The 21597-nt window shown below is 41.5% G+C and overlaps 1 protein-coding gene across 13 annotated transcripts in view; it reads left to right on the top strand.

Annotated features, from left to right (window-relative positions):
• The window catches only part of PPP1R13B (protein phosphatase 1 regulatory subunit 13B), a 115620-nt gene that overhangs the window by 75350 nt on the left and 18673 nt on the right, over positions 1 to 21597 (top strand). For 12 of the 13 annotated variants that reach the window (XR_007063997.1, XR_001750206.3, XR_001750205.3 and 9 more), the window contains exons 5-7: positions 15714 to 15815; positions 19221 to 19395; positions 20269 to 20465. Coding sequence is in view for 9 of the 13 variants with exons in the window: in XM_005267487.6 (XP_005267544.1) it covers positions 15714 to 15815; positions 19221 to 19395; positions 20269 to 20465 (474 nt within the window). In the remaining 4 variants the exon portion in view is untranslated. Of the gene's footprint in view, positions 1 to 15713; positions 15816 to 19220; positions 19396 to 20268; positions 20466 to 21184; positions 21332 to 21597 lie in introns of those variants that run through there. The other variant, XM_017021119.2, reaches the window with a different exon arrangement.

Raw genomic sequence — 21597 nt, 5'->3', positions numbered from 1 at the left:
GGATTAATCCTCCCTTGTGAGCAGAGCCAGGTGTGAATTTCTTTTAATTTCCCTATTGGGCTTTGTTGAATTTACTGATTCTGAGGATTGGCATCTGTCAACAGCTCTGGAACATTCTCTGTTATCTCGAGAAGTATTTTATCTTCTGCATTCTTTCTGTTTTCTTCTTTTGGAACTCTTATTAGACCTTCATCTTTCATTTTATTCTCCTTGTCTCTTAATTTCTTTTTTATATATTCTCTTTTTTGGTCTCTTTGTACTATATTCTGGATACTGTCCTAAGATTCATCTTTCAGTTAGTGAATTTTGTCTTCAGCTGTGTCTGTCTATTTAATACATAAAAGGTGCTTTTATTATTATTATTTTGAAAGGTATGACATAGTCTAGGAAAAATACTAGCAAATCATGTACCTGATAAAGGATTCAGATGCAGAATATATAAAGAACTCCCAAAGCTTAATAATAAGAAAACAAACAACCCAATTCAAAAAAGAAATAGGCCGAGCTCAATGGCTCATGCCTGTAATCCCAGCACTTTGGGAGGCTGAGGCGGGTGGATCACTTGAAGTCAGGAGTTCGAGACCAGCCTGGCCAACATGGCGAAACCCTGTCTCTACTAAAAATACAAAAATTAGCCCAGCATGGTTGTGCACGCCTGTAATCCCAACTACTTGGGAGGCAGGAGAATCACTTGAACTTGGGAGGTGGAGGTTGCAGTGAGCTGAGATCGCGCCACTGCACTCTAGCCTGGGCAACAGAGTAAGACTCTGTCTCAAAAAAAAAAAAAAAGAAAAAGAAACAGGTGAAAGATTGAACAGGTGCTTCCCCAAATAAAATATATGAATGTCAAGTAAGCACATGGAAAGGTGTTCACCATCATTAGTCTTTAGGAAAATACAAATTAAAACCACCATGAAGTGGCATTACACACCTATTAGAATGTCTAATGTTAAAAAGACTGATCATAACAAGTGTTGGTGAGGAAAGGGAGAAATTGGAACTCTTATGTATTGCTTGTGGGAATGTAAAATGGTATAATCTGGAAAATAATTTGGTAGTTTGAAACTTAAACATAAATCTACTGTATGACCCAACAACTCTACTCTTAAATATTTACCTTAGAGAAATGGAAGCAAATGTCTGTGCAGACTTGTACATGGCTGTCCATAGCAGTTTGATTTGGCTTGAAGCCAAAATCTGGCAACAACCCAAATGTTCGTTAACAGATAAATGCACAAATAGACTATGGTATATCCTCACAGTGGAATATTCCTGAACAATCAGAAGAAATGAACTACTAATACATGCTACAACATGGATGAATCTCAAAATCATTGTGCTGAAAGAAGCCAGCCAAAGGATTACATACTGAATACTGTTATGGTTTCATTCATATACAATTCTAGAAAACATAATCTCTAGTAACAGGGAAGGTCAGTGTTTGCCTGTGGATATGAGAACCAGGAGTGGGGGGCAAAGAGATAGGAGGAAGGGATTACAAAAGGGCACAAGGAAATTTGGGGAGAGGATGGATTTATTTTCTTGATTGTGCTGATTTCATAGTTTATACATTTGTCAAAACATTAAATTGTGTACTTTAGATATATGCAGTTTATTATATGTGAATTATACCTCAGTAAAGCTGTTGTAAAATTCATTAAAATTTTCACTTCTAGAAGTTTTAGGCCGGGCACAGTGGCTCACACCTGTAATCCCAGTACTTTGGGAGGCCAAGGTGGGTGGGTCACCTGAGGTCAGGAGTTCTAGACTAGCCTGGCCAACATGGTGAAACCCCATCTCTACTAAAAATACAAAAATTAGCCTGGCGTCCTGGCAGGCGCCTGTAATCCCAACTACTCAGGGGGATGAGGCAGGAGAATCGCTTGAACCCAGGGGGCGGAGGTTGCAGTGAGCTGAGATCACGCCATCGCACTCCAGCCTGGGGGACAAGAGGGAGACTTCATCTCAAAAAAAAAAAAAAAAAAAAAAGAAGTGTTAGTTCTTAAATCTTCTTAGTTGCTCTTTGGTTACATTTTAAACACACTAAACATATTTTATGTTCAGCAACTAATAATTTCTCAATCTGAACGTGACTTCTGCTGACTGTTGAGTCCTGGCTCCTTGATTGCTCTGTGTTTTGGTTTTTGACAATGAGCTGCTCGTTTTCCTTGGAACTTTACCTCTGGGCATTTTTTGACACCTGGATAAAGTCAGGCCTTTCCTGAAAGGCCTTTGTCAGTAACTAGGCACAAGCTAGGCTCAATTTCTACTGTCCTTTTGTGGATCATGACGCTTTCATGAGAGCTGTCTAGTGGTTACAGATAGTTAGGGGGCCGTCTCTCCTTCCACTCAGTGATAGAGAAAGGTAGGTTCCTTACTGCCCCCTTCTGTTGGGGGGTTCATTTCATAGTTAGCCTTACATTGAGGTTGTAGGTCTTCGCATCCTGGACGTTTGTGGGCATCTCCTCTTGGACTCTCCACAATGGAATGAGCTTAAGTCTTTACCTCCTAATGCCAGACTTCACCAGCTGCCAGGGAGCAAGTATGCAGGTGGGCAAAAACCTTCAGGACAAAAGCCAGCTGTGGAGTTCTTTTATTATTGCCCAAGGTTTCTGGTTTCTCTTTATTTTTGGTCCCTGTAGTTTCCTTACTGTTGTGCCAACTCAGTGATGCTTTTAAAAACATGTTTTGTGTTTTATCTTGCCTTTTAGGTGTTGTTACCAGGAGTGTGATACAGGGTGTCCTGTCAGCCATGAGGTTGGAAGCAGAGCGCTCCCAGGGTGTTGTCATAGTTCTCATGTGGCATGGGATGCGTTTTCTGTTGTTATCTGTGCACTTTGATAGCCCATTTTCCTGCCAGTTTCTTTCTAGCCCTAATTATTCCTAGCATCTTGCCTTGGGTATAAATGTGTATTGAATTGAATGGATATGGATGAATTTTTTTTTTTTTAAGACAGTGTCTTGCTGTGTCTCTCAGGCTGGAGTGCAGTGGCACAATCTCGACTCACTGCAACCTCTGCCTCCCAGGTTCAAGTAATTCTCCTGCCTCAGCCTCCCACGTAGCTGGGACTACAGGCATGCGCCACCACGCCTGGCTAATTTTTGTATTTTTAGTGGAGAACAGGGTTTCACCATGTTGGCCAGGCTGGTCTCGAACTCCTGAGCTCGAGTGATCCTCCTGCCTCAGTCTCTCAAAGTTCTGGTATTACAGGCATGAGCTACCACCTGGGCCTTATGTGAATAAGTCTTATGATTAAAATTTATTCATATTGGGCCGGGCGTGGTGGCTCACACCTGTAAACCCAGCACTTTGGGAGGCCGAGGTAGGTGGATCACTTGAGATCAGGAGTTTGAGACCAGTCTGGACAACAGAGTAGACCTCATTTCTGTTTAAAAAAAAAAAAAAGTTATTCACATTTATAGACTAAAATAGCATGTTGTAGTACTATTGCAGGGGATAGGGAGCTAGTATGCATTTTAGATATCTAATTGGCTCTTATTAATTTGTGAGACTTAGTAATTATTGGAATATGAAATATTCTGGCTTCAGAATTTAATGAGATGTTAGAGAGGCTTGATTTTATTGAACATTTTATATTTTTGCCACCTTTGTGACTGGGAATACTGAGCATATAATTTATGTGATAAAAATGAGCATCCGTGTTCATAAGGTATCTTGATATCATTATCACCTATTTTTTGTTTGCTAAATGGGCAAGTAAAACCTACTCTTCAAACCAGAAGATATATAACCTTGAAGAGATAGGAACAAAGAGGAATGATTTCATACTGATGAATATTACGTGAGCATAAGTAGGTTTTATTCTAATTATTTTGCTAGAGTTTTGCATTAGGGATGTTTGTCATTTTTGAAATGACATTTTACTTGAGAAACTGCTTATACTTTTAAAAAAAACTAGTTATACAGTATGTGTTGTGGCTCACGCCTGTGATCCCAGCACTTTGAGAGGCCAAGGCAAGAGAATAACTTGAGACTAGGAGTTTGAGACCAGCCTGGGTAACATAGTGAGACACTGTCTCTACAAAAAAAAAATTTTAAAATACATCAGTGTAGGCCAAGCACAGTGGCCCACACCTGTAATCCCAGCACTTTGGGAGGCTGAGGCGGGCAGATCACTTGAGGCCAGGAGTTTGAGACAAGCCTGGCCAACATGGTAAAGCCCCGTCTCTACTAAAAAAAAAATACAAATATTAGCCTGGCATGGTGGCACGCACCTGTGATCCCAGCTACTCGGGAGGCTTAAGCAGGAGAATTGCTTGAACCCAGGAGGCACAGGTTGCGGTGAGCCAAGATCGCACCACTGCACTCCAGCCTGGGTGACAGAGCGAGACTCCATCTCAAAAAACAGAAAGAAAAAAGATCAGTGCAGTGTGGAAGTAAAACAAAGACAAATTTAAAGACATTTTCTGTAAACTGCTAAAAATATTTATAGTCTTTTTAAATCTTGTGATGATTAAATTACAAGATAAGATACTAGACATTTGGTCTAATTTTTTTCTATTCTTTATTGTGAAATATATACACAGAAATATATGTACATGTATAAAACATGTACAGTTTAAAGAGATACTGAGAGCTGGGCAGGGTGGCTCACACCTGTAATCCTGCACTTTGGGAGGCCAAGGAGGGTGGATCAGTGAAGTCAGGAGCTTGAGACCAGCCTGGCCAGCATGGTGAAACCCCATCTCTCCTAAAAATACAAAAATTAGGCCTGGTGCAGTGGCTCATGCCTGTAATCCCAGCACTTTGGGAGGCTGAGGCAGGCAGGCAGATCACAAGGTCAGGAGATTGAGACTATCCTGGCCAATATGGTGAAACCCTGTCGCTACTAAAAATACAAAAATTAGGCCTGGTGCAGTGGCTCACGCCTGTAATCCCAGCACTTTGGGAGGCTGAGGCAGGCGGATCACAAGGTCAGGAGATTGAGACCATCCTGGCCAATATGGTGAAACCCTGTCTCTACTAAAATACAAAAAAAATTAGCCGGGCGTGGTGGCGCACGCCTGTAGTTCCAGCTACTCGAGAGGCTGAGGCAGGGGAATTGCTTGAACCTGGGAGGCGGAGGTTGCAGTGAGCCAAGATGGCACCACTTGCACTCCAGCCTGGCGACAGAGCAAGACTCCATCTCAAAAAATAATAATAATAATAAAAATACAAAAATTAGCTGGGCGTGGTGATGGGTGCCTGTAATCCCAGCTATCCGGGAGGCTGAGGCAGGAGAATCACTTGAACCCCGGGGGGCGGAGGTTGCAGTGAACCGAGATTGTGCCACTGCACTCCAGCCTGGGTGACAGAGTGAGACTCCATCTCAAAAAAAAAAAAAAGAAGACACTCAGGTGACTACCACGGAGGCTTAGAATTTCTCTATTATTTTTAAAACAATTCTATGCAACTTATTTTAATTGTAGACAGAATAAAGACACAAAAGCAAGATGGTTAGTGGAGGCCACCTGAAGTCTCCTCTCAGATTTTATAGAGAAAGAAAGGGCATTTTTGGAGACAGATGTGTGAACAAATCATGCTAGTATGAAAAGTGTAGTAAAAGTGGAATAAGGCACCAAAATAAAGGGGTATGATTAACTTTATCAAGATTGATGTTGGGCAATACTTCCCAAAAGAAAGAATCAGAGGATTCCACAAAGATACAGAGGAATAGACATGAAACTGTATGGTGACAGAGAGTTATAAACAGGACTGTGCAGCATGAAGTGTAGGGACAGGCAAGGGGGAGGAGACACTGAGAGGGGACACGGAGAGGGAGGAGAGCGAGAGCAAGAGGACCAGCCTGGGAGAGGCCAGGTCTTCACCATGCTAAGAGCTCAGATTAATCTTGTGGGATTTTAAGCAAGCTGTGTTTTAGAAAGATCTCTGTGGTGCTGGCCTGCAAGAATTATATATCAGCAGTGGGAGATAAAGAGCAGGACGGGAATGAGACTGGAGACGAGCCTTGTGAGGTCATTGTTTGCTGTGCTTTGCAATGGTGTCACAACTCCTGGAATCTCAGAGACTTTCAAAGGAAGTATTTGAAAATACAGTTTCAAGGGTATGGTGATACAAGCAGAAAAGGCATCCAGTTTTTCTTCTAAATGGTAATTTATAGATTTTCAGTTCTTATTTATTTATTTTAAAGAGACAGGGTTTCGCTCTGTTGCCTAGGCTGGAGTACAGTGGTGCAATCATAGTTCACTGCAGCTTGGAACCCCGGGCTCAAGCAGTCCTCTCACCTCAGCCTCCAAAGTAGCTGGTACTAGAGGTGTGCACCACCATGCCCAGCAATTTTTAAATTTTTTTGTAGAGATGGTGTCTCATATGTTGCCCAGGCTGGCTTTGAACTTTTGGCCTCAAGTGATCCTTCCACTCCAAAGCCCTTCGGGTCATTGGGCAGGTGACATTAGGTCTATTTGGTCACTTCTCATAATCTTCCAAAAATAAAGAGTTGCCTATAGAGTTCTCATTATTGCCTTTATCTTAGTTTTAAAATTGTTTTATTCTTGAATCAAGTAACTTTTATGTTTTTCAAGGGGGAGAAATTAATCCTTTCCCATTAGTTCGAACTATGTGAAATTGTTGATGTTTGATCATTTTTTGATCTGGCGGATCATGAGGTCAAGAGATCGAGACCATCCTGGCCAACATGGTGAAACCCATCTCTACTAAAAATACAAAAATTAGCTGGGCGTGATGGCACGCACTTGTAGTGCCAGCTACTTGGGAGGCTGAGGCAGGAGAATCGCTTGAACCCAGGAGGCGGAAGTTGCAGTGAGCTGAGATAGCGCCACTGCACTCTAGCTGGTGACAGAGCGAGACTCTTGTCTGAAAAAAACAAACAAAAAAGCAGTATTTTCATATGATTTAGATTATTAAGATGTCTTCATGGTGTCTGGTAGCGTGTTTACCCTTTGACATAATAAATGGCTGTTGATTAGGAGCAACCACGGATACCAAGCTGCAGCCAGGTGGTGAGGGCATCACCTCCCATGTGATGGAAAGAGTGCCTGCTTGCTGTCAGGAGATGTGGCTAGGATCCTGGCACTGCTACTGACCTGACACTTAAGCGTGGGAAAGCCAGTCAACCAGCTGCCCAGAGCCTTAGCTTTCTCACCTATAAAATAAGCTTAAGAATTTTCCTCCTAGGGGCCAGGCACGGTGGATGACGCCTGTAATCCCAGCACCTTGGGAAGCCGAGGTGGGTGGATCATGAGGTCAGGAGATCAAGACCATCCTGGATAACATGGTGAAACCCCATCTCTACTAAAAATACAAAAAATTAGCTGGGCATGGTGGCATACGTCTGTGGTCCCAGCTATTCGGGAGGCTGAGGCAGGAGAATCGCTTGAACCCAGGAGGTGGAGGTTGCAGTGAGCCGAGATGGCGCCACTGCGCTCAAGCCTGGGCGACAGAGCTAGACTCCGTCTCAAAATAATAATAATAATAATAATAATAATAATAATAATAAAATAAAAATTTCCTCCGAGAGTTTTTGTAAGCATCATCTAAGACAACTGTAAACTTGGGTATATGTAAATGTCTGATATGCAGCAGGCATTCATTACATGTTAATTGCTGAATCTCTAGAATGAATTCAAGAATTCATTTTAAAAAGTACTGAGTTCTTCCCATCTCTGAAAGTGAATAAACATCCTGAATATCAAAACAATGGTATGAGAGAGTCCTTAAAGAATCAGGAAGAACTTCAGGAAGCAGATGGCATTGCCTCCTAGGTCTTAAGTGATAGGCAGAGTTTAGGAAGCAGTGGGGGAAGGGCACTGTGGGCAGCGGGAAGAGCATGAGTGAAATATGCTCACAGGAAAGTGTTGGTTCTAGAACGGAGTGGCAAGCACAGATGTGGGAGGTCATGAAGAGCACTTTCGAGCAGCAGCCTTTATTTAGGGCAAGGATGGCTCAATCAAAGATGTTGCTGCTGAGGCTTCTGGAAAAAGGCGAGAGCCATTCATAGAAATAGGGAATTTAGGGAGGAAGCCAGGCTTGGAAGGAGAGAGAGGAGTTTGGTGGAGAGAGGCCAGAAGTGGATGTTTTGGCAAGGTGTGTTCTCCTATAAACTAAGTGCAAAAAGGAACGAGCATGAAACTGTTGAACTATTTCATGTCATCTCACTGGAGCTTGAAAGCTTAGGGAATTTTTTATTCCAAATAATATATATTTTTTTGATTCTAGGTTACAGTTTATTTCAAATAATCTGAATACAATGACCAGTATACAATTTTTAAAAATCACGTGCACAAGGAAATAAGACATCACGAACAAAATGTGACAAACACCTCAGATACTGGTATGACCTGACACAGGCTATAGAACAGCTGTGTTGGCCGGGCACAGTGGCTCACGCCTATAATCCCAGCACTCTGGGAGGCCGAGGCGGGCGGATCACGAGGTCAGGAGATCGAGACCATCCTGGCTAACACGGTGAAACCCCATCTCTACTAAAAATACAAAAGATTAGCCGGGCGTGGTGGCGGGCGTCTGTAGTCCCAGCTACTCGGGAGATTGAGGCAGGAGAATGGCATGAACCCGGGAGGCAGAGCTTGCAGTGAGCCGAGATCCGCCACTGCAGTCCAGCCTGGGCGACAGAGCGAGACTCCATCTCAAACAACAACAAAAAAAAACAGCTGTATTTACTTTATTTAAATAAATGACAAGTTTTGTTGGTATGTTCAAGAGAATAGGAAAATATTTTAAAATGGCACTGCAGACCGAAAAAGGAACCAAACAGAACTTTCACAAATGAAAAAAAAACCCTGAAATTAAAAGCTCAAAAGAAATGTTTAACACATATAGACAAATCTGAAGATTTGCAATGAATAACAGAAATTGAGAATAAGCATTTTGAAACTTTCATATCAACTTAACAGGGTAATTTTATGTCTACTGACTACAATAATTAACATTGTGGATGTATTTTGTACTTCTATAATAATTTATTTTCATTGTATTTTCTGATAAAGGACTCATATCTGGGATAACATACTGTTACAATTCAACAAGAAGAAGACAACCAACTTAAAAATAGACATCTCATCAAAGAAGAGAGACAAGTGGCTAACAGGCATATGAAAAGATGCTTAACATTTCCAGTCATTGGGGAAACGCAAATTGAAACCACAGTGAGACACCATTACACATCCACAAGAATTAAGCTATAAGCAAAAAGACAAATATTAGCAAGAATGTGGACACACTGGTGTCCATTGCTGGTGGAAATGTAAAATAGTGCAATCGCTTTGGAGAACAGTTTGGCAGTCTTTTAAAAAGCTAAACATAAACTCACCATACAAGCCAGGAATTCCACTCCTAGGTATCTACTCAAGAGAAATGAAATATCTGCTCGCACAGACTTCTATGCAAATGTGCACAGCAGCACTGTTACTCATACCAGCTAAGAAATAGCCCAAATGTCCATTAACTGGTGAATGGATAAACAAATTGTGGTGTATCCATCTGACTGAATATGATGCAGCATTAAAAAGAAACCACTCAACACAGATGAACCTCAAAAACCTCACAGCAGGTGTGAAAGACTACCTATGGTATGACTTCACTTATATGAAGCGTCCGGAAGAAAGTAAGTCTAGAGACAGAAAGCAGATCAGTGGGTGCCTGCAGCTGGGGCCCAGAGTGGAAATTAATGGTGAATGGCATGAGGTAACTTTTGGAGGCAGATGGAAACATTCTAAAACAGAGTTGTGGTGATGGTTGCACAACTCTATGTATTTGCTAAAATAACTAAATTTTCCAGTTACAATGGGTGAATTTTAGGATATGTAAATTATGCCTCAGTTAACTCTAAAAAAGAAAAGCCTGTGACTCGAAAAGTTAAGGAAAAAATAAAATCTAGGGATAGGGCTGAAAGTTATACTCAGAATGAATACGTGGCTTTAAATTCTTTTATTATTAAAAAGCAAACTAAAAATAAGTCAACTCTCTATTCAACTTAATAAATGAAGAAAAGGTTAAAATAAAAGACATAGGATAATTAAAGATAAAAGTACAGATGAATAATACTGAACACAAACAGAACAGTCAAAAGAATAAATGAACTTATAAGGAGACATAACCGCCACTGATAAGGAAGAGATTAAAAGGTGCATTAAACAATGACCATGTACTAGTTAACAGACCCCCCTTTCTAAATGGACGCACTGTGCTAAGAAGCTACAGACGTTTCATAGAGAAAAGCAACAGGCCCACTGAGTTCCAAGTCAACCTTTCAACCCTATTTCATGGACACATTCCACATTTTATTGTTTCTGAAATCCGGGTCCATCTCATTATCCCTGTCATAAGGTGGCAGTGTGAGGGAGCTGCGGGAAAAGCTGCTGCAGGCCACCCCAGGAACCTTCACAAAGTGCTGGTGACAACGAATCTTTTAAGGATGGTAGTTTTTGAAGTTCTCTATTATTGCTTGCACTAAACCTTGAAGAATTTTGCCGTTTGTCTTTCTTCACTATGGGCTGAGAGGCTGGTACTTTTATTTAGCAGATACTGTAGACGGGGACAGCAACAAGGCTGTTTGTCCTGATGGAAATTTGCTCTGATTCCACTGTGTCTTGTCCTTCTTTTGAACTTTTTCCACTCTTCCCTGCTTTTGGTGATTCTTTCTCCTTCCTGTTTTTATTCAGCATGGCTGGAGCGGGCGGCCGCCGCCACCACCTGCCCCCACAGCAGCAGCGCCTCCACCCCCATCCGTCTCACCCCCACGGCCACCGCCGACACCCAGGGACTGAGTCGTTCTCTTGCTCTTGGTTCCCGTTTTTCAGGCTTCCAGAGGCTGCAGCAGTGGCTGCCTATTCCAAATATTATTATGGTGACATTCTTTTTTTTTTTTTTTAATACTTTAAGTTTTAGGGTACATGTGCACAACATGCAGGTTTGTTACGTATGTATACATGTGCCATGTTGGTGTGCTGCACCCATTAACTCGTCATTTAACATTAGGTGTATCTCCTAATGCTGTCCCTCTCCCCTCCCCCCACCCCACAACAGACCCCGATGTGAGATGTTCTTGCCTATTATAACCATAATGAAGTAATTTGGCTGAATATTAAAATCAGCATATCAAGATTAGGGACATCTGAAGTGACCCATTTGCCAGTAGATGTTTAATTGCTGACAAAATCCACTAGTCTTTTCTATTAACTGATTTTGTAATCACAAAGGAATGTATGTTAGGCATTGAAGGAAAAAGCACCATTCATAGTTAAACCTCCATCGTTTATGCTGTAGCTTAGCTCCTTTAAACATATACATGTTCTCTCTCTTCTCTGGGTTATGATGATGCTGTTTGGGGAGATTGCACTGTGACTGAACTTATAATAAAAATAAAGTTATAGGACAGGAAAGCACTTCAGGGTCACAAAAGCTAAACAAGAGAGCACTTCAGAGCAGGTAGAGCCAGCACATGTGCACAACAAAACAGGCGTCGAAGATGCTCCCCTGCCTCTGAGGCACTTGGCATATGTATGCCAAGCAAAAGCAGAATATTTTGGGTTTATCCAAGCATGACACAAAATTCAAATCTGTACCAGAGTCTGTTCTCTGACTAGGAACAATTGGGTTGACTAAATTAGTATGTATATTTGCCTGAAATTGTAATGTCAAAATACCACTCCTTATAGAGCATTATTTAGTGTTTCTTTTTTTTTCTTTTTCTTTTTTTTTTTTTGAGATGGAGTCTTGCTCTGTTGCCCAGGCTGGAGTGCAGTGGCACGGTCTTGGCTCACTGCAACTTCCGCCTCCTGGGTTCAAGCGATTATCCTGCCTCAGCCTCCCGAGTAGCTGGGATTACAGGCACCTGCCACCATGCCCGGCTAATTTTTTGTATTTTTAGTAGAGACAGTGTTTCACCATGTTGGCCAGGCTGGTCTTGAACTCCTGACCTCGTGATCCGCCCACCTTGGCCTCCCAAAGCGCTGGGATTACAGGTGTGAGCCACAGCGCCCGGCCTATGTAGTGCTTCTAGGTGAAAGACTAATTATACGAAAAAGAAATGGCATAGTTTTTCAAGAACTGCAATAATGAAGAGTCATTAACTGGACAGGTATTGGATAAGGTATGTAATATGATGAATTCCTCTGTTCATAGGTAAAATTGTAGTCTTTACTACTTTTTGGCACATAGCAAAATTCTTTTTTTTTTTTTTTTTTTTTTTTTAAATATAGGGTCTTGCTCTGTTCCCTAGGCTGGAGTGCAGTGGTGCAGTCACAGCTCACTGCATTCTCAACCTCCCAGGCTCAAGCGTTCCTTCCACCTCATCCTCCCAAGTAACTGGGACTACAGGTGCCCGCTACCATTCCTGGCTAATTTTTGTGTATTTTGTAGTGATGAGGTTTCACCGTGTTGTCCAGGCTGGTCTGAAACTCATGAACTGGGATTATAGCCGTGAGCCATCATGCGTGGCCACATATTAGCAAAATATTTCAATAGTACATTAAATAGAATGTAAGACTAGCCTTATTACTAATATTTGGAGAGACAAATATTTTGTTTATAAAAATTTTGTAAGCCAGCTAATGAAGTCTCTTATTTCTGCAAGTAGATTTGTGGAAGTTTGGAGAAAGAAGGCAGTGATATGATCAGATAAGTGATAATAAAAACTATTTCCCTCTGCTCATGCTGGGGTCAGGGTGGGAGGCTAGCTAGACCTGAGGCGGGGTGGGCCGTGTTTATTGTGGAAAACAAGTGATGTTGCCGTGAGGCTGGAGAGTGAGCTGGGTTCATGAGTAGCAGAAACAGTGTTCCTGGAACCCAGAGTTCAGGTAGTGAACATCGGTGTTGGAGGAGATCTGGATCCCTGGGGCCACAGGTGGTAGTCCCTGCCGAAGGGATCATCGGAGCAGGTTTAAGGCTGGTGGGATGTTTCCTTTTTGGGGGTCCCGTATTTGTAGGCACCTGCCTGACTGTTGCTGAGAAAACTTTTCTGCTAATTTAACTTAGTTGTTGGAAGTGGCTTGTGCACTGTGTGACCTGGAGCTGAACTCATCCGACAACTCTACCATAATTAGGGACCTTGAATTGCCTGAGGGAACAGGGTTTGACTTCTTCTTATTAGATGCAATCAATGAAGAGAAATAGGGAAGAATTAGGTAATAGGTTTGTTTGAATAAATTGAGTTTGTATAAAAAATTTAAAATTGTAAGTAGGGATAGTTTGCATGTAATACAGTGATAGGCCTATTATTAAAAAATCCAGTTTGCATTGAAGAGTTTTCATTTTCTTTGAAATTGTGGAAAAAGTGCTTCTTTTTTCCCAAATTTTCACATTGCACAATTACTGAAATGTAAATTGTTACATATTTGTTGACTTACAGGTTTATGGTAGCTTATGTTTTTATAACCCATTTAAATACAATTAAATCACACAGGCATATTCACTTTGAAATAATTCATTCAGCTGTACATAATGATTTATTACACCTTTCTATATGTAAGATCTTCCATAAAATTTCATTACATTATAAGTTGATGTATAAGATACAATGAATTACCTATGACAAGATGGCGTATCTTAATTTTGTACTTAGAAAAACACACGCAACATAAAGAGTATAAATGTATGTATTGGCAAATAAAATACTTTTTGGTTTAGGTAAGTAAAATATTTTAATAAGCTCTATCTTATTCATAGATATAAACATCAGAACACCAGACAGTTAAATTTCTCTTCTATCCTCTTTTCATTGTTTTGTGAAGCCTTTGGTGGGGGAGACCAGAAAGGTAGTTTTTGATTTTTTTTTTTCTTCAAGTTGTGAAATTATAAAATTAATGTTAATTGAAAGATTTGTTGAATAGACATAGTTTTACTCTAGTCAAAAAGTGTTTAAGTCTGGGCACAGTGGCTTACACCTGTAATCCCAGCGCTTTGGGAGGCCTAGGTGGGAGGATCATTTGAGCCCAGGAGATTGAGGCCAGCACAGGCAACATGGTGAGACCCCTGCCTCTACAAAAAATTTTAAAAATCAGCCAGGCATGGTGGCTTGTGCCTGTAGTCCTAGCTAGGCGAGAGGATAGCTTAAGGCTGCAGTGATTGCACCACTGTACCCCAGCCTGGGTGACAGAGTGAGATTCAGTCTCTAAATTAAAAAAAAAAAAAAAAAAAATCTTGTACCGTATTGCTTTTTCAGGATTTTTAGATAAACAGAATGGTGGTTCCAGTTAAGACTGTTAAATCCAGCCGGGCGCGGTGGCTCATGCCTGTAATCCCAGCACTTTGGGAGGCCAAGGCAGGCAGATCACGAGGTCAGGAGTTCAAGACCAGCCTGGCCAATATGGTGAAACCCTGTCCCTACTAAAAATAACAAAAATTAGCCGGGTGTGGTGGTGGGCACCTGTAGTCCCAGCTATTCGGGAGACTGAGGCAGGAGAATTGCTTGAGCCCAGGAGGCGGAGGTTGCAGTGAGCTAAGATCACACCACTGCACTCCAGCCTGGGTGACAGAGCGAGACTCCGTCTCAAGAAAAAAAAAAAAAAAGACTGTTAAATCCTGATCCCATGTTTCAAGAGTCAAGAATGTGCTCAAACATCATAAAAGTTTGGGAAGACATGGAGCTGGAGGAACAGGAACTGTAACTGACTATTAAGAATTATAAGAGGTTTAAGGGTGGCAGAAGGTGAAGGTATCCTAAGAGTATATATGAACCTAGAAGTAGAACGTGGGAGCTTGAGGAGGAACTGTGTGGCCTCCCTGCTCAGAACTGAAGGGTTTGGAGATGGGCTTGTGAGAATGGAGCTCTAGGGCTTTAATGAGCTGCGTGCCTCTAGGCATGCTCCTTCCCCTCACCCCCATAGCTCCTCACCCAGAGTGGGGGCTCACATAACCCCCACAACCCCATGCAGATTTGTTTTGAAGAGCATATGGCACAATGCTCATAGCATGTCTGTCACAGTACACAGTGCACGTGGTGTGGGCTTAGTAAGTAATGAACTGTGAGGAACAGTCGAGAACATAGACTCTGTGTCTCTGCTTTGCCTCGCAAGCTGACTGCCCTGTGCTTGTTTTCTTATCTGTAAAACAGGGATGTAACAGTACCCACCTCATTGGTCATTCTGAGGCCGAAATGGGTCATATATGTAAAGTGTTTAGTTCAGGGCATCATTGACAGAGATTGGAGAATGGAGAAACAGCCAACTGCATTCATCTAGATGTTACTTTGCATGTTGATTTCACATATGTAATTCTCTCGGATGATGTGTTCTTCATGTAAGTCATGCATATGGTGTTTTTAGTGAGTTATTCATATATTAGAATCTGTTACGTATTTTCATTTCCTGAGATCAGGTGATAGTGAGATGACATTTGTTCTTAGGCGTTACCTGCATATTTATATTTTTGGTTGTGTATCCTTAAACATTTGACAGCCCCATTTGCTCAAATATACCTACTAAATTGTCATTCCAGAAGGAGGAATGTCACTCATAATACACATTTGCAAATGTTTGCTTAAACTTGAGCCCTTACTAAATACGGTATCTGATGTTTATGCATTAGAAAAACAGTTATTTATATTTCATAAAAGCAGTCAACAATTAGGAAAAGTTCTTACAAGAAAATAAACTAGTTGGTACTCTCCTCACTACTAGGGATCCTATCTAAAGTCCTGATATGTGTGAGTTTTGACACTAGAGACAGACAATTATGCAGATAAACTTATGTTCCAAAATAAGTGCTTTTTGTTTAGGTTGGGAATCCACGTGTTGAACTTACCCTCTCAGAGCTCCAAGATATGGCAGCTAGGCAACAGCAGCAGATTGAAAATCAGCAGCAGATGTTGGTTGCCAAGGTAAGTTATAAAAAGAGGTATTGAAACATTGTTCAAAAAGTACCTTCTTTAACCATCATTTTAGACTGGGGTTAATATATTCTTGGGTAACGCTTATAAAATAGGACCATGCCATAGGAGTGCTAAATGCAGTCTTTCTCTCTTTGTTATCACTTCCATAATAATATATGCATACTGTAGTTTCTGGAAGTTGGGAAGCTATCAGAACAAGAGCATCTCACTTTTGACACATACAATAGACACCCCAAACAGGAAACTGATGACCTTATTAAAATCATAGATAAAATTTGGAAAGGGGCCAGGCACAGTGGCTCCTGCCTGTAATCCCAGCACTCTGGGAGGCCAAGGCAGGAGGATTGCTGGAGCCCAGGAGTTCAGGACCAGCCTGGGAAACATAGTGAGACCCTGTCTCTACAAAAAGTAAAAATTAGGCATGGTGGCATGTGGCTGTGGTCCCAGCTACATGGGAGGTTAAGGCAGGAGGATCACTTGAGCCCAGGAGTTGGTTGCAGTGAGCCAAGATCATGCCACTGCATTCCAGCCTGGGTGACAGAGTAAGTGAGACCCTGTATTAAAAAAAAAAAAAAAGGCTGGGTGCAGTGGCTCACTCCTGTAATCCCAGCACTTTGGGAGGCCAAAGTGGGCGGCTCACAAGGTCAGGAGATTGAGGCCATCCTGGCTAACATGGTGAAACTCCGTCTCTACTAAAAATATTTAAAAAAAATTACCCAGGCTTGGTGGCGGGCGCCTGTAGTCCCAGCTACTCGGGAGGCTCAGGCGGGAGAATGGTGTGAACCCAGGAGGCAGAGCTTGCAGTGAGCCGAGATTGTGCCACTGCACTCTAGCCTGAGCAACAGAGCGAGACTCCATCTCAAAAGAAAAAAAAAACAAAGAAATCGGGAAGAAAGGGTGCTTTTGTTATCTCCTTTTGCCTCTGGGTATGTTCTTGGCTGTGTCATTGGTATTAATGTTCAAGAAGAAAGCAGCAATCCGTGATGAAAACACTGATCAGGGCCACGAAGACAATGACAGGTGGTTAACGGGGCTTCCCCATGTGCTACTCTAGGCTGGACTTGTTTGGTTTATTACAGTGCGGAGTATAGATAATGCTTATTATATATACTGAGTTCTACACTGGTTATTGAAACTCGAATCTTTCTAAGTAATGGTTTAGTCATATTTAATTGAAACATCAGATGTATCACACATGCCTGCTGGAAATGATTCATGTTGTAAATGATCTTAAAATATTCTGAAACTGGCCGGGCGTGGTGGCTTATACCTGTAATCCCAGCACTTTGGGAGGCCGAGGCAGGTGGATCATCTGAGGTCAGGAGTTCGAGACCAGCCTGGCCAACATGGTGAAACCCTGTCTATACTAAAAATACAAAAATTAGCCAGATGTAGTGGCTAACGCCTGTAATCCCAGCCACTCAGGCTGAGCAGGAGAATCTCTTGAAGCCGGCGGTGGAGGTTGCAGTGAGCTGAGATCGCGCCATTGCACTGCAGCCTGGGTGACAGAGCAAGACTCTGTCTCAAAATGAAAAAAAAAAAGAAAAAAAAATTCCAAACTGGCTTTAAAGATAACATTTAAACATTACCAACTAGGTTCTTATTGCTTTCTTCTGTAGAGAGATTTTCTTTATGACTAAAATGTCCAATCTGATTTTTTAAAATTTATTGAATGACTGTATATACTTCATTGTACTATCCACTTTTATGTAAATAATAATTTGGGTTGGACTTGTTTTAAAAAGTTGTCTCAATATTTATTGGATTTATGAGAAAATGATTAAAAGTTAAGTTCAATTGGAAAGTACTTTATCCCATTAATAAGATTTCTAAGATAAAATATACATAGTATTATGTCATTGTAAAAATTTTCTAATTCTGCTTTTTATTTTTTTCCAAATATTGATCCAAGAGTATTGCTGTTCAAAATAGTTATAGATATTTTCAGTAATGTGAATCACAAGTTAATGCTACATCTTAAATATTTAAGCACATATTGTTTTACCTTAGAGTGTAGTATGTAGTGCCTTCATAATCACACCTTAAACCTCTCCCTATGTAGGTGTATTTTATGCATACATATGGGATCATGAATACTTAATGTTGACTCTTTAAGGTATGTTTTCACATTAATAGGGAAAACCCTATTGAAGAATGTTGCATATATTGTTATTTTTAGATTGTTCTGGTATTGTTTGACTCTAAAATGTTTCCTTATTGAAGAAAATAATCCTGAAGAAGCAGACACTTCCTTGATTGTTCAGTATCACAACAAATTGAAGATTTATCTCTTTACTGATCACCTTTATCTCTTTTCAGTGTAAAATTCTCTGCTGGTCAGTGTTCATTTCCTTTAGGAAATGAATTAGATTCTTGGAAGCCACTTTGTAGCAGCAGGAAATGTATTACTTGCACCAGGAAAGTAAGGCTCACTGGAACATCACGGATGTGATAGAGTGAAGAGGAGACTGTGTTAGTGCATGTTCTCCTGCTGGAAGGTTTTCTGCAGAAGCGCTTATATTAACTGGTGTAGATGAGTGTAATAAAACCCTCTCTCACCGGGCGCGGTGGCTCACGCCTGTAATCCCAGCACTTTGGGAGGCCGAGGCGGGTGGATCACGAGGTCAGGAGATCGAGACCATCCTGGCTAACACAGTGAAACCCTGTCTCTACTAAAAAAATACAAAAAAATTAGCTGGGCATGGTGGTGGGCGCCTGTAGTCCCAGCTACTCGGTAGACTGAGTCAGGAGAATGGTGTGAACCCGGGAGGCAGAGCTTGCAGTGAGCCGAGATCATGCCACTGCACTCCAGCCTGGGCAACAGAGCGAGACTCCGTCTCAAAAGAAAAAAAAAAGAAGAAAAAGAAAACCCTCTCTCTTAAAAATCCCGCAGCTCTTACTATTTCATACTTAGGTACGCCCAGTAATTTCAGTTTTTTATGGTCTGATATAAGATTCCTCTAGTGTTTTAGTATTCTTTAAGATGAGTGATACTGTAGAATACTCTCACATTTTTCTTTTTGAGTATATAAAAGTAATCATAAGTTTCAATTTTTTTTTTTTTTTTTTTTTTTTTGAGACTGAGTCTCACTCTGGCACCCAGGCTGGAGTGCAGTGGCACGATCTCAGCTCACTGCAACCTCCATCTCCTGGTTTCAAGCGATTCTTCTGCCTCAGCCTCCCAAGTAGCTGGGACTACAGGCGCACACCACGCCCAGTTACTTTGTGTATTTTTAGTAGAGACAGGGTTTCACCATGTTGGCCAGGCTGGTCTCGAACTCCTGACCTCAGGTGATCCACCTACCTCAGCCTCTCAAAGTGCTGGAATTACAGATGTGAGCCACCGCGCCCAGCCTTCAATTTTCAAAGTTACATTTTTCTTTCTTTTGTTAGGAACAGCGTTTACATTTTCTAAAGCAACAGGAGCGCCGTCAGCAGCAGTCTATTTCTGAAAATGAAAAGCTTCAGAAATTGAAAGAACGAGTTGAAGCCCAGGAGAACAAGCTGAAGAAAATTCGTGCAATGAGAGGACAAGTCGACTACAGCAAAATCATGAACGGCAATCTGTGTACGTGCCTGCAACACCCCCTCGACACCACTCTCACCAGGCCCAGATCCAGTGAAACATAGTCTAACTGCCTGACAATTCAGTCACAAATTCACAGGACTAAATAGCAAGCGTGCTCAAGTTTTGCTCTGTTATTTGCATCTAAAAGGATGGGTGGGTTAGGTTAAGTGATCTTAAAATTGTGTAGTCCCAGCTACTTGAGAGGCTGAGGTGGGAGGATTGCTTGAGCCTGGGAGGTCAAGGCTGCAGTAAGCCACGATCCGGCCAGTGCTCCCCAGCCTGAATGACAATGAGACCCTGTCTCAAAAAAAAATAAAAAGATCTCTTGCGGCCCTCAGACGCAGTAGAAAAATCCTCTTGTTACGTTGGTACCAGCGGCCCTTTGGATTAGGGTGGGGCGCTCCAAGACTTACTCATTCAGAGGGTCTGTTTTTCTTGAATAACTTAACTTGTATCCGTGCATTAAGATAAGTTATGCTGATGCTCACTTTTTTTCTGTATGAACTCTTATTTTATTCATTGGTTCAGTCTGTGCCTACTTTAAGTCACAGTGATGCACGAGAGAGGCTTGGATGGCCCTGCCTTCACAAAACCTTTGGTCTCAGAGATTTCTAAGTCACTTGAACAAACTAGCTTATGGACTGATTACCCTAAAGAATAGTCGGGAATTAATGCAAATATAATTGTTTGCTTTATGAGTAATCAGATACATGTGTCCCAAAGGCTTTTTGAAATGTGTTGTGGATTCTGCATATCACAGCTTTCTCCACGGTCTGGCACTAAATGATACTAGAATTAAGTTCAGTGTATAGAAATGAAAAAAAAAAAGGATCAACTAAATCTTTTATTCTTTTCTTGTGTGGTCAATTATAGCTGCTGAAATAGAAAGGTTCAGTGCCATGTTCCAGGAAAAGAAGCAGGAAGTACAGACTGCAATTTTAAGGGTTGATCAGCTTAGTCAGCAATTGGAAGATTTAAAGAAAGGAAAACTGAATGGGTTCCAGTCTTACAATGGCAAATTGACGGGACCAGCGGCGGTGGAGTTAAAAAGACTGTACCAAGAACTACAGGTAACTCCTGGGTCTGGCAATGGTTGTATTAAAACATTCTCATCTTTCTATCTTTCATTAGCATGGGTTGGAAACCTTAGGAAGTGGAAACAAATTAGTAGATTCTAATTTAATAATAGGCACAAGATATATTCAGTACAAAATAATTTTTTAAATGACTTGGGATAGGCCGGGTGCGGTAGCTCACGCCTATAATCCCAGCACTTTGGGAAGCCGAGGCGGGCAGATCACAAGATCAGGAGTTTGAGACCAGCCTGGCCAATATGGTGAAACCCCGTCTCTACTAAAAATAGAAAAATTAGCTGGGCGTGGTGGCGCATGCCCGTAGTCTCAGCCACTTGGGAGGCTGAGGCAGAAGAATCACTTGAACCCGGGAGGCAGAAGCTGCAGTAAGCCAAGATTGCGCCACTGCACTCCAGCCTGGGTGACAGAGTGAGACTCTGTCTCAAAAAAAAAAAAAAAAAAGGATCTAATTCACACAGCGTACAATTCATCCATTTCAAGGATACAATTCAGTGGCTTCAGTACCTTCACCGACTTGTCAGTTACATCCACCGCCACAGTTAATTTTAGAACATTTTTATCACCCAAAAAAAAGGCCCGCACCTCTTAGCCATCACCCCACAACCTCCATACCCTCCAGAGCCTGGCAGCCACAGATCTACTTTCTGTCTCTGTAGATTTGCCTATTCTGGACGTTTCATATGAATGGAATCATGCAGTACAGGTTGAGCATCCTTAATCCGATAATCTAAAATGCTTCAAATCTGAAACTTCCTGAGCTCCAGCGTGGCATGCAAAGGAAATACATGCTCATTGGAGCATTTTGGATTTTGGATTTCCAGATTAGGAAGGATGCTAAACAGGTAAATATAACATAAATATTTAAAAATCTGAATGAATCCAACATCTGAAATGCTCCGGGTCCCCAGCATTTTGGTTAAAGGATATTAACCAAAACACACCCTGTATGCGGTCCTTTGTGACCGGCTTCTTTCACTTAGGATGTTTTCAGCACAAAATAATTCAATTAGCAGATAATAATCCAGTAAAGAATTAAACTTAGGGTGATATTTTAAGGCCTTTGTGTAAACTCTTTTGATGAGCTAGGTGCCTATTGTTAAATCTTTGT

This window comes from Homo sapiens, chromosome 14 (genome assembly GCF_000001405.40).
Source record: "Homo sapiens chromosome 14, GRCh38.p14 Primary Assembly".
NCBI lineage: Eukaryota > Metazoa > Chordata > Mammalia > Primates > Hominidae > Homo > Homo sapiens.
This window is presented reverse-complemented; position numbering and strand designations above follow the sequence as displayed.